Source organism: Homo sapiens, chromosome 11 (assembly GCF_000001405.40).
Source record: "Homo sapiens chromosome 11, GRCh38.p14 Primary Assembly".
Lineage (NCBI taxonomy): Eukaryota > Metazoa > Chordata > Mammalia > Primates > Hominidae > Homo > Homo sapiens.
This window is the reverse complement of record NC_000011.10, coordinates 5,343,823-5,360,263: the sequence shown is the minus strand read 5'-3', so window position 1 is coordinate 5,360,263 and position 16,441 is coordinate 5,343,823. Positions and strand designations below refer to the sequence as shown.

At 38.8% G+C, this 16,441-nt stretch overlaps 2 protein-coding genes and 1 pseudogene across 3 annotated transcripts in view; 1 reads left to right on the top strand and 2 right to left on the bottom strand.

The window, feature by feature from the left end:
* OR51B5 (olfactory receptor family 51 subfamily B member 5) overlaps window positions 1-16,441 on the top strand; it is a 165,335-nt gene that overhangs the window by 145,389 nt on the left and 3,505 nt on the right. For both annotated transcript variants that reach the window (NR_038321.2, NM_001005567.3), the window contains exons 2-4: window positions 13,354-13,388; window positions 13,911-14,002; window positions 14,365-14,491. The gene's annotated coding sequence lies outside the window, so the exon portion shown is untranslated. The remainder of the gene's footprint in view (window positions 1-13,353; window positions 13,389-13,910; window positions 14,003-14,364; window positions 14,492-16,441) is intronic.
* On the bottom strand, window positions 4,643-5,572 carry LOC100418885 (amphiphysin pseudogene; annotated as a pseudogene).
* On the bottom strand, window positions 7,818-8,756 carry OR51B6 (olfactory receptor family 51 subfamily B member 6). Its single transcript, NM_001004750.1, has one exon. It carries the CDS (start codon window positions 8,754-8,756, stop codon window positions 7,818-7,820), a length of 939 nt encoding a protein of 312 aa, NP_001004750.1.

Genomic DNA, 16,441 nt, shown 5'->3' with positions numbered 1-16,441 from the left:
ATATTAGCCCTTTGTCGGATGAGTAGATTGCAAAAATTTTCTCCCATTCTGTATGTTGCCTGTTCACTCTGATGGTAGTTTCTTTTGCTGTGCAGAAGCTCTTTAGTTTAATTAGATCCCATTTGTCCATTTTGGCTTTTGTTGCCATTGCTTTTGGTGTTTTAGACATGAAGTCCTTGCCCATGCCTATGTCCTGAATGGTATTGCCTAGGTTTTCTTCCAGAGTTTTTATGGTTTTCAGTCTAACATTTAAGTCTGTAATCCATCTTGAATTAATTTTTGTATAAGGTGTAAGAAAGGGATCCAGTTTCAGCTTTCTGCGTATGGTTAGCCAGTTTTCCCAGCACCATTTATTAAATAGGGAATCCTTTCCCCATTTGTTTTTTTTGTCAGGTTTGTCAAAGATCAGATGGTTGTAGACATGCGGCATTATTTCTGAGGCCTCTGTTCTGTTCCATTGGTCTATATCTCTGTTTTGGTACCAGTACCATGCTGTTTTGGTTACTGTAGCCTTGTAGTATAGTTTGAAGTCAGGTAGCGTGATGCCTCCAGCTTTGTTCTTTTGGCTTAGGATTGGCATGTCAATGTGGGCTCTTTTTTGGTTCCATATGAACTTTAAAGTAGTTTTTTCCAATTCTGTGAAGAAAGTCATTGGTAGCTTGATGGGGATGGCATTGAATCTATAAATTACCTTGGGCTGTATGGCCATTTTCATGATATTGATTCTTCCTACCCATGAGCATGGAATGTTCTTCCATTTGTTTGTATCTTCTTTTATTTCATTCAGCAGTGGTTTGTAGTTCTCCTTGAAGAGGTCCTTCACCTCTCTTGTAAGTTGGATTCCTAGGTATTTTATTCTCTTTGAAGCAATTGTGAATGGGAGTTCCCTCATGATTTGGCTCTCTGTTTGTCTGTTATTGGTGTATAAGAATGCTTGTGATTTTTGCACATTGATTTTGTATCCTGAGACTTTGCTGAAGTTGCCTATCAGTTTAAGGACATTTTGGGCTGAGACAGTGGGGTTTTCTAGATATACAATCGTGTCATCTGCAAACAGGGACAATTTGACTTCCTCTTTTCCTAATTGAATACCTTTTTTTCCTTCTCCTGCCTAATTGCCCTGGCCAGAAATTCCAACACTATGTTGAATAGGAGTAGTGAGAGAGGGCATCCCTGTCTTGTGCCAGTTTTCAAAGGGAATGCTTCCAGTTTTTGTCCATTCAGTATGATATTGGCTGTGGGTTTGTCATAGATGGCTCTTATTATTTTGAGATACGTCCCATCAATACCTAATTTATTGAGAGTTTTTAGCATGAAGGGTTGTTGAATTTTGTCAAAGGCCTTTTCTGCATCTATTGAGATAATCATGTGGTTTTTGTCTTTGGTTCTGTTTATATGCTGGATTACATTTATTGATTTGCATATGTTGAACCAGCCTTGCATCCCAGGGATGAAGCCCACTTGATCATGGTGGATAAGCTTTTGGATGTGCTGCTGGATTTGCTTTGCCAGTATTTTATTGAGGTTTTTTGCATCGATGTCCATCAGGGATATTGGTCTAAAATTCTCTTTTTTTGTTGTGTCTCTGCCCGGCTTTGGTATCAGGATGATGCTGGCCTCATAAAATGAGTTAGGGAGGATTCCCTCTTTTACTATTGATTCGAATAGTTTCAGAGGGAATGGTACCAGCTCCTCCTTGTACCTCTGGTAGAATTTGGCTGTGACTCCATCTGGTCCTGGACTGTTTTTGGTTGGTAAGCTATTAATTATTGCCTCAATTTCAGATCCTGTTATTGGTCTATTCAGAGATTCAACTTCTTCCTGGTTTAGTCTTGGGAGGGTGTATGTGTCAAGGAATTTATCCATTTCTTCTAGATTTTCTAGTTTATTTGTGTAGAGGTGTTTATAGTATTCTCTGATGGTGGTTTGTATTTCTGTGGGATCGGTGGTGATATACCCTTTATCATTTTTTATTGCATCTATTTGATTCTTCTCTCTTTTCTTCTTTATTAGTCTTGCTAGCAGTCTATCAATTTTGTTGATCTTTTTGAAAAACCAGCTTCTGGATTCATTGATTTTTTGAAGGGTTTTTTTGTGTCTCTATTTCCTTCAGTTCTGCTCTGATTTTAGTTATTTCTTGCCTTCTGCTAGCATTTGAATGTGTTTGCTCTTGCTTCTCTAGTTCTTTTAATTGTGATGTTAGGGTGTCAATTTTAGATCTTTCCTGCTTTCTCTTCTGGGCGTTTAGTGCTATAAATTTCCCTCTACACACTGCTTTGAATGTGTCCCAGAGATTCTGGTATGTTGTGTCTTTGTTCTCTTTGGTTCCAAAGAACATTTTTATTTCTGCCTTCATTTTGTTATGAACCCAGTAGTCATTCAGGAGCAATTTGTTCGGTTTCCATGTAGTTGAGCGGTTTTGAGTGAGTTTCTTAATCCTGAGTTCTAGTTTGATTGCACTGTGGTCTGAGAGACAGTTTGTTATAATTTCTGTTCTTTTACATTTGCTGAGGAGTGCTTTACTTCCAACTATGTGGTCAATTTTGGAATAGGTGTGGTGTGGTGCTGAAAAGAATGTATATTCTGTTGATTTGGGGTGGAGAGTTCTGTAGATGTCTATTAGGTCCGCTTGGTGCAGAGCTGAGTTCAATTCCTGGATATCCTTGTTAACTTTCTGTCTCGTTGATCTGTCTAATGTTGATCTGTCTAATGTTGACAGTGGGGTGTTAAAGTCTCCCATTGTTATTGTGTGAGAGTCTAAGTCTCTTTGTAGGTCTCTAAGGACTTGCTTTATGAACCTGGGTGTTCCTGTATTGGGTGCATATATGTTTAGGATAGTTAGCTCTTCTTGTTGAATTGATCCCTTTACCATTATGTAATGGCCTTCTTTGTCTCTTTTGATCTTTGTTGGTTTAAAGCCTGTTTTATCAGAGATGAGGATTGCAACCCCTGCCTTTTTTTGTTTTCCATTTTCTTGGTAGATCTTCCTCCATCCCTTTATTTTGAGCCTATGTGTGTGTGTGCACATGAGATGGGTTTCCTGAATACAGCACACTGATGGGTCTTGACTCTTTATCTAATTTGCCCGTCTGTGTCTTTTTACTGGAGCATTTAGCCCATTTACATTAAGGTTAATATTGTTATGTGTGAATTTGATCCTGTCATTATGATGTTAGCTGGTTATTTTGCTCATTAGTTGATGCAGTTTCTTCCTAGCCTCAATGGTCTTTACAATTTGGCATGTTTTTGCAGTGGCTGGTACCGGTTGTGCCTTTCCATATTTAGTGCTTCCTTCAGGAGCTCTTTTAGGTCAGGCCTGGTGATGACAAAATCTCTCAGCATTTGCTTGTCTGTAAAGTATTTTATTTCTCCTTCACTTATGAAGCTTAGTTTGGCTGGATATGAAATTCTGTGTTGAAAATTCTTTCCTTTAAGGATGTTGAATATTGGCCCCCACTCTCTTCTGGCTTGTAGAGTTTCTGCTGAGAGATCTGCTGTTATTCTGATGGGCTTCCCTTTGTGGGTAACCCGACCTTTCTCTCTGGCTACCCTTAACATTTTTCCCTTCATTTCAACTTTGGTGAATCTGACAATTATGTGCCTTGTAGTTGCTCTTCTCAAGGAGTATCTTTGTGGCGTTCTCTGTATTTCCTGAATTTGAATGTTGACCTGCCTTGCTAGATTGGGGAAGTTCTCCTGGATAATATCCTGCAGAGTGTTTTCCAACTTGGTTCCATTCTGCCCGTCACTTTCAGGTACACCAATCAGATATAGATTTGGTCTTTTCACATAGTCCCATATTTCTTGGAGGCTTTGTTCATTTCTTTTTATTCTTTTTTCTCTAAACTTCTCTTCTTGCTTCATTTCATTCATTTGATCTTCCATCACTGATACCCTTTCTTCCAGTTGATCGAATCAGCTACTGAGTCTTGTGCATTCATCATGTAGTTCTCATGCCTTGGTTTTCAGCTCCATCAGGTCCTTTAAGGACTTCTCTGTATTGGTTATTCTAGTTAGCCATTAGTCTAATTTATTTTCAAGGTTTTTAACTTTTTTGCCATGGGTTCGAGCTTCCTCCTTTAGCTCGGAGTAGTTTGATCGTCTGAAGCCTTCTTCTCTCAACTTGTCAAAGTCATTCTCTGTCCAGCTTTGTACCGTTGCTGGTGAGGAGCTGCATTCCTTTGGAGGAGGAGAGGCACTCTGATTTTTAGAGTTTCCAGTTTTTCTGCTCTGTTTTTCCCCATCTTTGTGGTTTTATCTACCTTTGGTCTTTGATGATGGTGACGTACAGATGGGTTTTTGGTGTGGATGTCCTTTCTGTTTGTTAGTTTTCCTTCTAACAGGACCCTCAGCTTGCAGCAGATTTTTAAAAGAACTTCCAGGACCTTGTCTGTATATTGACGCCTATGTCACTACAGGAATCAGAGCAGGGCATTACATTGATCCTTTAAGAAAATTTTGCTACCCTATACCCCTTGACCCTACTCTTTTTTTTTTTTTTAATTTTTAAAGGTAATTGTTAGAAATTTCCCAAGGTTTATTTGAAATGACACACCACTGAAAACATAACTTTTACAGATGATTTGTGGATACAGTACACATCACCTATCTTACTTTAGGACAGTCTGTGAAGATGATATTTTTCCTGCTGCAGTTCCTTTGTCAAGTGACTTTAGACAGATACAGGACTGCAAGAGTGACTCAGGTCATGCTGGCATAGGAGAAGCAGGTGCTAGTGTTTCACTTGAACTAGTTGTTGGGCTGGGGTGGAATGAAAGCTCCCTAGGCCATGAGGACATCTTTGCAATGTGGAGAGGACCCAAATCAGTGGGTGTTGCTCTTTGAATGTTGAAGGCCTTGTCAGCATACTGGTCACCCAGTTTCATCATCACTTCATACTGTTTGTACCAAAGCACCACAGTTTCCTTATGAAACTTAGCTTCAAGGCTGGAGATGTTTTTGAAAGTATTAATATAAAATCCAATTCGTCTTGACTATAATAATGGTAACTTTTCTTGTAAGTCACCATTAAACTCTTCAAACTTTCTCTATGCTTTCTGAAATTCTACTTCTGCCTTAGACAGAGGCTCCTATCCTTCCTCCTGAAGCTCTGTTGAGCCCGATGGAGGTGGGCAGGCACTGTCATAGTCCGTAAGCTTCCTGCTGCACTTGGTGATGTGATTCTTCAAGTCAGGAAATTGGTCCAGGTAGTTTTCCAGTGTTAGCAAGGATGCATCCATGAGTTTTTTGTGGATATCCTCCCAGAGCACATCACCTTTCTCACCAACCATTTTCACACCTTCCTGCCCAGACCAATCCAGCGCACAGACTTCACACAGTGACTCAGCTTCGTCAAGGTCTCTTGAATGCCTTTGATTGCTTCTAAACATCCTCAGAGTTCTCTCAGGTCTGGTACCCTCTGCTTCTTGTGGCTTGAAGTTCTGGACATATTCTTCAAACTGTTTGTCTTTTGTCTCAGCAGCTTTCCCTGGCTTCTGGAGGACGTTTTCCTGTGAGTGGCTGAGTCTCTTCCAGGCATTCTTGGCAAAGATGCCCTCTTGATGTTGGCCAGGGCTGCAGGTCCAGGACCTGGGAGGAGCTGAGCGCTCAGTGTGGCTGGTGGCGTGGAGGGGCGGGAGGAAGTGGGGAGGATCATGAGGAGGGGTGAGGTCTTCGACCCTACTGTTGATATGTTGTTCAGGGACCATCGGGAGCCCAGAGCTCTGCTCTGTTTCACGGGACTCCACAAAGAGAACTGCAAGTCCCAGTCTTTCACCTCTCTTGGACTTTTTATCTTGTCTCTTCATCACATCTCTTCAGTATAAGGAAGAACAGAAAGGGAGGAGAGAAACTCAGGGTTGTCAGTCAAATGTGTCCATTTACAGAATTTATAAAATGTATTGTTATCCTAGTTATCTTTATACTAGCCTGCTATGGCAGGTTTCAGGATCACTGGACCTAGAGGGTGAGTCAAGAAAGATTTTCTTTGATGTGGCTTAGATCCCCCTGAATTCATTCCCAAAAGCCCAAGGGAAGAAAGAACAGGATTAAGTATACATTGCCCATATCTTGGAAGACAATACAGAGAGCAGTAACAGACAGAAGAACTAGCAGACACACAGAAAGACATGGGTCACTTTAAATTTTATTTATTCATTTTAATGAAAAATTATATTTTGTTAAAAATGGTCTATGTGAGAAGTTCTGTAATACAGTAGGGAATAAGAACTATGTTATATTTACCATCCTCGAGCACACAGTCAAGAAGCTACAAAAGAGAAAGGCAAATTTCACACACAGCCAAGTTGAGTAAAACAAACAAAATCTTTTGGTCTAATCAGATAAAGATCATTTACTAGCCTGGAAACTATTGTGAAGGTATTATTTTATTTTTGTTTTCTCTGTGTTATTTATACATCCCAAGAATCCTAAAAAATCCCCACCTTTCTGTGATGAAGAGTAGGTGGGCAGCCATAGATCACTGAGTGTCAGTATGACAGAGGCCAGAGATGAGGGGCATCCAGCTGACTGGTCACTGGGTGGCCCCTTGTGTAGTCCAAGCACATCATACCCTGTATTTTGGTCAAAAGAATATCTTTCTTTTAAAATTAATTTAAAACTTATCATTTGAGTCATGGATACTGGCTCTTCACCTGGCCATAGGACCACAAACCCCCTCTTCTCATGCCTAGACTCTGAAAAGAATCAAAAGTATTTGGAGCCAGAAAAGGCCATTTTATCTTCTAGTTATGAGCATTGCCTCCATCCTCTCCCTTCCTCCCCACTCTCCACATATGACCAACTGTTTGTTTTTCAACTCTGCTATTTTGCACATGCCAGACACCCCTATCTAGTCTTATCTCTGATGTTCCCCTAAACCAGACCTCTCATACCACTTTATGAAAATGCATCTCTCTGTTCAGTAGTAACTGGAATTAACTATCAAGACAATGGTCATCTGAATTAGAAATTATATCTCTGTTTTCAAATTATTATCAATATTATTTGATAAATGTTAACCAAAGTTTTAACTGAACACATTTCTCATAGAGATACTTTCCCTAGACTCATCATTTTGAATTGAGGGAAATGGTTTACCCTCATTGAAGAAAGTAATTGAGGGAAATGGCTTACTCTCATTGAAGAAAGTCTCATTTCTTCACGTGCAATTTTCTAGAAACAGCAGCCAGCTCCATATATGCAAGAGAACTGGATGTATGTCTGAAGCCAAAAATGCCTTATTCCTATGTATAACAGGACTAATATATGCAAGCCATATGGAGAGCAATGGGCATTGACTGAAATGCCGGTGACCCAAATCATAGACCCAAGAATTATATATATAATTGGTTCATATATATATATTATTTATATAATATATATAAACACACACAGATACATACACACACTATTATATATTAAGTATATATAATAGTGTGTATTATATATATTAAATATATATAATAGTGTATGGGTATGTATCTGTGTGTGTATATGTATGTGTGTAAGTATGTATGTATGTGTATGGTGCCAGCCATAAGCTAATCAAACAATGTGAGTTAAATTACCTGAGAAAACAATATCAGTTGAGCACTGAGATATGTACTTAGTGTTGTACATATATCTTATACAAATCAGCAATAGACAGGCAGGGTAAAATAATGTTCTAAGTAGCAGAGGGATTGACTGATTTCCACTGAAATGCTCAGGGATTGATTAGTTCTCATTGAAATGACTTTCCCTAGTTACTTATGCTGGCAACATTGTCATCCTGTCCAGGTCCCCTGAATTATTCCTCAGAGACCAGTGAAACAATGTCATGCTCTAGAGTGAGGCAGAGAGAATAAACGAAGTATGCCACTCTGAATCTGCTTAGTTTTAATGCTATAGATAAATGGGTTCATAAAAGGTGGGAAAAGGAAGTGGATGTAGCTCATTGTGATGTGAACGACATGAGGAACATGCTTTCCAAACCTATGAATAAATGTCAGACAAACTACAGTGACATAGAAGACCAGGATGCAGCAGATATGAGAGACACATGTGTTGAGGGCCTTGGCCCTTTCTCCTCCAGAACCAATGCCCATGACAGTCTTGAGAATCAAAATGTAGGAGAAAAAGATGATGAGAAAGTCCAACAAGACCATTGCAAATAAAACTACAACTGGATAGAGACGGTTGAAGGTGATGTCAGCACAGGCTAGCTTGATGACATCTTGGTGTAGACAGAAAGCATGGGAGAGTACATGGGATCGACAGTAGGGAAACCAGTGTAGGCGAACAACTATTGGCATAATGGACAGACCAGCCCTTGTCAATACCCGCACACCAATCTTCATTACCTGGGTGTTGGTCAGGATAGAGGTATATCTTAAGGGGCTGCGGATGGTAATGAAACAGTCATAAGCCATGGCAAGCAAGACACCTGACTCCATGACAGAAAGAGTATGGATAAAATAGGCCTGAGAGAAGCAGGCTCCATGGCCAATCTCCCTGTGATCTAACCACAGAACACCTAGCACTGTGGGCATTGTGGTCAATGTCACTCCGAGGTCTGTAGCTGCCAACATAGCTAAGAAATAGTACATGGGCTCATGGAGGTTATGATCATTCCTGATGAGAAAGAGAAGAGTGCCATTGCCAAGAAGTATGGAGATGTAGGCTGCCAATAATGGGATGAATATCCAGTGATGTGCCTTCTCCATGCCTGGGAAGCCAGTAAGCTGGAAGGTGGAAGCAGACTTATTGAGCCCCATTGCCAGCTTTGCAAAGAGGCAAATATTTACTCCAGGTAAAGCAATAGTAATCAGTTGTATAAAAGTTGCTCCTTGAGAATTCTACCTGTTCATAAGATGTTCACCAGTCCTGACTTTCAGTGACAGCAAGGATGATAATTTAGTCATTCCTGGGAGATCCTAGGTATGGGAAAATAGAATGTATAAAGAAGATATTATTTAGGGTTTACTCTATGTAAGATTATTGGATACTACGTTGGGGATACAGCTATTCATGCAGAATAAACATTGTTGAATTCATTGTAAATCATATAACCCAGAAAATAAAAACAAAATGAAAGAAGAAATCACTATATTTGAATAGTGCTGTAATGGCCTGAAACTTATAGGTCACTTTTCATGGTGCTCTTCATCCTGACTGGTGGTATTATAGGGTGGATGTAAAGGTTTCCCAGGCTATGTGAGACCTAAAAGATCAGTAGAAAAATGGTTCTAAGCACTATTGGAAAAGCAGATATAAAGATTATATGGAAAAACAAATACACAAGTAAGAAATATATGAGCAAATACAATAAAATAGTAAATTTCAGAGATTGACTTTTCTTCAATATTCCTGGAGGGAAAATTCAATTGATGAAGCTCCAGAGACTTTTGGGTAGTTAGAAAATGACGTAAGAGTGACTTACCTGTGTGTGTTTCCAAAGCACATAGAACTCTAAGTTGCCCAGCTTTATAACCCTAGTTATTGATACACTGCTTCAAAGAATTCAAATTTTCATAATATAAATTGAAGAATAAACAGTAAAATGTGGATTTGATGATAAGCTTTTGAAGGCACTAATTGATAATAGCACCAAACTACTGTTGCATATCACCTACTTGGTGATGCAAAAATAAAAATTGGTAATTTAGGCAAGATCAAGGAGAATTTTTTTTTTAAAACTATGGAATCTGATGGGATTTGACAAAAGTGAGAAGGCTCTGTGACTCATTAGAATTCTAAGATTTCAGCTGGTGCAGGCAGCCAACCTCTGAGAATACATAAATTGTGTGTTGGTGGCATGAGCCAGAGAAAATAGGCCCACCTTCTCTTATGGTTGGTTTGGACTATACATCTCATATACTATTGAAAGAGCATATTGATGTAAATTTATGCACGATTTACAAGACCTCTTTCTGTCCATGAAAAGAATGCATCCAAGATTACTGGACTTTCATTTTCAGAAGAATTTGTTGAAGTTTCAGCTCTGCTCTTTCTAACAATAATGATCTTGGGAAAGTAATTTAATCTTGAGATTTGGTTACATAACCTGTAAAGACTACTAGTGATTTCTGTCTTCTCAGTCATTCTCTTGACACAAAGTAAGGGGAAATGTTTTGTAAAGAGTGGATAATTTTTTTATTTTTGTGTTTTTGTTATTGTTTCAGAGAAGTACCTCCTTTCTCTTTCTCTAGTGAGTACATGTCAGGATTATTCACCCAGAGGTGTGTCAAATGATTTCCTTTTTTTCTGTGGAAGCCTTGGGAACAGATATAAGATGATGATGGGGTTTTTAGGAGCCTGTGTTTGACTTTAAATAAAGATATTAAACTATAGTTTCTCTAATCAGCAGATAAAATGTGATATGTCTGGGTGGGAAAGGGAAAGGAGAAAAGATTGATGAGCCAATGTGGGAACTTCTGACATAGCTAAAAGTAACGTTGAGCCTGGGGCATTGGGACTGAGGGAAGTAGAGGGGAAAGCAACTCTGTCCTCAAAAAGTGAGAAAAGGAGGTATTATTGCTCAATCTGCCTGCCAGTGAGAGGTTCAGACAATACTCAGCTTATGCAGGATTAAAGAAGCAGTATGGCAAATAAAAATTGTACATAGGTATATAACTTATTGTTTTATTATAGGTATTCATTGTTAAATGATTACCATAATCAAACTAATTAATATATCTATCACCTCACATAATAACTTTAATTTTTTTGGTAGTAAAAATATGTGAGGTCTGCTTTCTTAGCAAATTTTAAATATACCTAAATAAAGCTGGGAGGGAAAAGATAATACAGAACATTAATCTAGTTAATTGTGTTATATTACTACTAAATAAACATATAATTGATAAATTAAAAAAAAACAGGAGTAGGAATACCAGATAGGGAAAATAAAGCTGAGAAACAAATGTATGGAACAAATAATTGTTGAATTTCTACCGTGTGTCAAGTATTGGACTGGGGCATTATATACACCTCATTTTTTGGGAAGAATCCTTAAAATAGCTGTTTGTCTTGTCTGTTTTCATATTGAAAACTGAGTGCTTTCACTTGATTCACTCAGTTGCTTTTGTGGTATATGAGATGATCTGTGAGTTTCAGAGGGGATAAAAATCTAAAACCTTTGCCTCATCCCTGCAGCCATTCACCCTCTTCCAGGGTCTCTGTCATAGAATAGACTTGAGTTTTTATTAATGAGAAACTAATTCTCAAAGTCTCAAACTCTGCCGCATAAACTGATGGCTCTATGCAGACACCTCAGCAGGAGCCCATTCAGATGTTAACTTTCATATATTCTCTCACCTTCCCTTTGGCTTTTTTCCTTCACTTTTCCTGACACTCTTTTCTGTCTCAAGCACTTAGTATCTCCATCCTTTTTTTACCCCCTTACCTTTGGCTATTATCCTTTCTGTGATGGTTAATATTGAGTGCAAACTTGATTGGATTGAAGGATGCAAAGTATTGTTCCTGGGTGTGCTGTAAGGGTGTTGCCAAAGGAGATTAACATTTGAGTCAGTAGACTGGGAGAGGCAGACCCACCCACCCTCCGTCTGGGTGGGTACTATCTAATCAGCTGCCAGGGCGGCTAGAAGAAAGCAGGCAAAAGAAGATGGAAGAGTAGTGGATGCCTGTTACACAATATAAACCTTTCCAGGTGCTAAAGTCACACAGGCTATGTGAATCTGTACCCCTGATCCAGAGGCACACATAACCCAAGCTCCGTCCAAGCTTAATTTTGAATTGGTTTATTAGTCATATGGTCAGATAGTGACTTTTTTTCTAGAAAGTATTTGAACCTCTGATGATTACAGAGGTATACCTCCTCAAGAATTTGGAAGAGTTGATTCTATATTTGGCACTTATCTGGACTTCTAAGGTAAAAGACATGGGGTTGGGGGCAGGGGGACTCTCAGGGTTAGAATGGAAGCCAGAGAGATTAAAGAATCAGTCAGGTGGAGAGAAATTACTACAACCCCATAATTCATGCCTGAGTCAACACCCATGCTCTGGTTTGTTCGTAGAATTGTTTGCCTTATGTGTTCCAGAATCTATCCTTCACTTTTTTATATTTGAAGAGGTAACTCTCAAAGAAACCAAGTTTTAGAGATGTCAGGGAGTCTTTAGGACCCATGCCTACTACATATATCTACTCTTAGCAGACAACACTATTACTTTTCTCTTGCTAAGAAATCAGCTTCGATCTCTCTGTTTTTTTTTTGCCTTGGTTCCTGCAATGAGATCTTACAGAGGAGATTCATTAAATACCCTCACTGACCTGAAACTTTGTTCCCTTCCATTCTTCAGTTCCATAGTCATGTATCTCACATCTTTAGCCGTATGAAAGATTTGGGCATCATCTTTTCAGAATCTGCACATGAGCCTGGCTGGTAGGAACATTTATTTTAGAAGCTCCTCCCCAGAGACCATTCCTGATTTAGATAATTATTGTTCTTCCCTCCCTCCCTCTTCTGCTCCCTCCTCTCTTCCCTCTCTCCCTACCTCCTTCCTTCCATCTTTTTCTCTATTATTTGTGCCCTCAGCCTTGTGGGTATTGGGCTTTGAACAGCACAACTCAAGATCTCTGTCTCTGTCCTGGCTTTTACTGGAGGTTTTCCTCTGTTGGAGGTTGAATATTTTGTCTACATTGTGGCTTTGGCTCTTGCTGTGCTACTTTGGAATTATTTTATCTCATTGCATTTCATAGTCCTTACTGTAAAACGCATATAATAATTGCCATCACAAAGTGATGTGGTGTGCTTGGCTGAAGCACCATGTGATGAGTATGCCTGCTGCATCCCCTGGAAAAGAGAAAACTTCTGGTAGGCTAAACTCAAGAAGGGAATAGTTAGTGATAACTGCAGAATGTGCGTTCACGTTGGGTACTAGAGAAGGCTGCCTGAATTTTATTATATTGACTCTAGTCTATCTAGCTCTCTGCTTTCAAGCTTTCTCTGATCTAAACCAAGCAGGAAATATAGTAGAAATTCAGGTTACATAGGCCAAGAAGATATATAGGCTTTCTCTTGAGATAAACTGGGAAAGATTTGACTGTTGAAGTAAATGTAGGGAATAAATTACCTCCCAGAGGTGATACCAGAGTCTGCTGGGGCTATGAAGACAGGCTGTCTGATTCCCCACACATAAAGGTCCTACCAGTGGCTTGATTCAGCCAGTAACTTATTTGAAAAAAGAAAGATTATTTAAAAGCTTGGGGGGACTAATTAAGTGTTCCAGCTCCCTCTAAGGAGGAGTTAATACAGAGTAAATATTTCTTAAGATCCAAGTTGGCTATAAAAGGGAGACATCTGGGAAGGTGCTATCTTTATTAATAACCACAGTGACTGCTTCTCTTCACAGATGTTGAGAAGGAACAACATGATCTAAGTCTTTAGGTAAGACACAAGAACCCTGCTCTTCCTCACCATCAAACAAGTTATGGTACCTGGGAGTATGGTGAAATACTCCTAGATATATAAAGAGTGTACTAGGAGACTCCTCTATAAGCTCTCCAGAGAAAGATACGGAGAAGAAGTGAAGGATCTCAATAGTCCACAGCTTTGGATGTGTGCACAGATTTCAGTCTGAAGTTGATAGAACTTCAAAAGCAATTCCAAGTGCTACCAACCAACTACCTAAGACCTTCTGTACTCAGTGATGTGAATATGATTGACCCTCTCATATGTCTTCTTTCCTTTCTAAAAGATGAACAGGAAGGCACCTCTTATTCTACTACATTTTACTTTTTAAACAAAGCAGAGAAAAATTATGGCTGTAAATGTTAGAAGTTTATCTGATTTTCTAGGTGTTCCATTATAGAATCTTCTTGCTTCTATCCTCAGTCTTTATGATCTCTTTCCTTCCCTATATTTTTTTTCCTCAGCTTTTATCTCTTCTCTCATTGTCTTTCTTCTCAGAAACCAAGAGCCACGACTAGCTGAGGACACAAGAATTTTCACAAAACAAAGTAGAGTGATTCCATAGATCACTATTATAGCTGCATTACCAGGTATGTCTGCATGGAATTCTTGGGAATGGAGAAGGAGGAAACTTTAAGTTGCAGGTTATTATTGGCAAAATACAATCATTGCCTTACAGTTTGGTTAGCTTTCCCTGTAGTGATTCATCACTTGTGCTGCATATTCTCTGATAAGAAGGAATTTTTCACAAAGTTGAGATACAGTGAAAGATTAGGTTAAAGGAGATTATTGCTGAAACGTCAGAGAAGTAAGAGTGTTGACAGAGAAATGAAGTACATAGAACACAGAAGGGGAGGAGCTAAGCTGGATTATCTTTGCGTCTAGTAACTGAAGAATATACATCACTCATTGTATGTTCAGTAGGCACTGAATTCTGGTTTATGTCTCTCAGTCCTAGGACAGAATATGGATGCTGAAAAATGATTCTTTCAAAGTGCTGAGTTGTTGCCTCACGCCCAGTTGTCTGGCATCTCTTCACTGAAACTATTACAGTTAGATCTCATCTCTATGGGTGGAAGGTAAGAGGATCGTTTCCTTTGGTGGCATCTTTAGGGTAGTGCCTTACACTGACAAAGTAACTCTGAAGGGGTATATTTGGATACGACCATCTTTTTAACTTAGGATAAAAACAACTTCAAGAAGTTGTTCTGGCATGTGACAAGAAAAAAAAGCAAGGGATGCATTTGCTCTAATTCAGCTATATTTACTAATGACTCTTGATTTCCTCACAAGTGAATATGTATCCCCCTCAGACTTCCATTTTGAGTAAATGGCTTCACCATTCTTTCATTTGTTCAAACAGAAATCTAGGGGAAACCTCATTTGATTTTTCCCTCACTCCCATTTTTAATATATCAGCAAATCTTGGCACTACTTCAAAAATGCATCTGTCTCTGTTTAAGTTTTTCTATTTTTCTCTTTTTTTCATTTCCCCTGCTTCTCTCCTAGTCAAGGTCACCATGACTCTTCATATGGATTTTTAAAATAGCTTTCTAACTCATCTCTTTTCTTGTCTCTTGCTTAGTCTTCTTCACATAGCAGTCTAAGTGAGTAATTTAAAAATACAAATCAGAATATATCACCACACTATTTTCCATTGTGATTTTCAAAGTGTCCTAATGTCTTTACTACATTTATAGTAAGAAGAAAACAAAACAAAACAAAAATTCCGTGGTGGTCTGTAAGGCCCTATGACACTTGATTACTACCTGCTTCTTTGACATCATCTATTGTCCCTCTCCTGTTTTCTTATCAAATGCCAGTCATGCTGATTTTCCCTCTGGAACAGTTTTCCTCTAGGTCTGTATACGGTCAGGTTTTCTTTTGTATTGAGGTCTCAGTTCAAATGGGACCTCCTCATAGGTGCAGTTCTAGGCCCCTCAAACTGCTATACTATCTTGTATACAATACCATCCAATTAATCTACATCAAGTAGTACTGTTTTATGTTAAACTTGCATTTATATTTGTTTAAAATTGTCTTATTTATTTTTCAACTTAATTTATGGTTTATAAGATTAGGGACTTTGTCTTATTACCATTTAATTCCAGAGAGCTTTAAATATCATGGCTGTCACATGATGCGTGTTCACAAATATTAGGTGAACTAAGAAATGTTTATCAGTCACATGTTAGATACTTTGCAAGGTGTTGAGCAAAGCAAATAAACACCATGTCTATATGCAAGAAGCCCCTAGTCTAGTGGCAGAAGGAATATTAAAACCTTCTCAAAGGACTAATCTCTTCTCTTCAGTAAAAGACAGCACCACGTTTAAGCAGGGAAATAGCTCTCACTCAGTATTGGGGAGAACAGATTCAGAAGCCTATGGCTGGGGATAAAGGGAAGGAAACCAGGAAGATGGATGTTTAAATATAAATGGAGAACTTGAAATGAGAGAGGTCAGATTCTAGGGAATTACTTCAGTAGGCCTATAGAAAAATAATTTAAAAAGAAAAAGACACTACTTGTAAATAAGAAACAGTAAGATGTTTAAACTGAAGGAGATACACTATTATAAGTGATGTCTTTGGCTGGCCTAATCATTTATTCCAGCCCCAAAGTCTAACTTATAATTAGACTGAGCTATTGTCACAAGTAGTGAGTAGTACTGAAGGATTCTACAAGAGGGTAATTCACACTAATCGTGAATGTCTGTTCCCCATCACTAGTCCATGAAATCTGGAGGCCAAGTGTCTCTTTCTCAATCTGACTGCTCCTTAGCTACAGTGGTAGTGGCAGAGTTTCTCTTCCCACACTTTTCTTTCTTAGGCTGTTGAGACTTTAGCTGATAATTCAGGTAAGTCTTTACATGCAGGAAAATGTGGATTAGGGATCACTACTGTGAAGGCAATTACAGGTTTAGGTGGTAGACCAGAAAAAAATTAGTGTTAGCTTTCTGGAAATCCCCTTGAATGCCCCATAGAATACGAATTCTTTAAAATCTGCATAGTTAAGGGTAACAGTTTAGA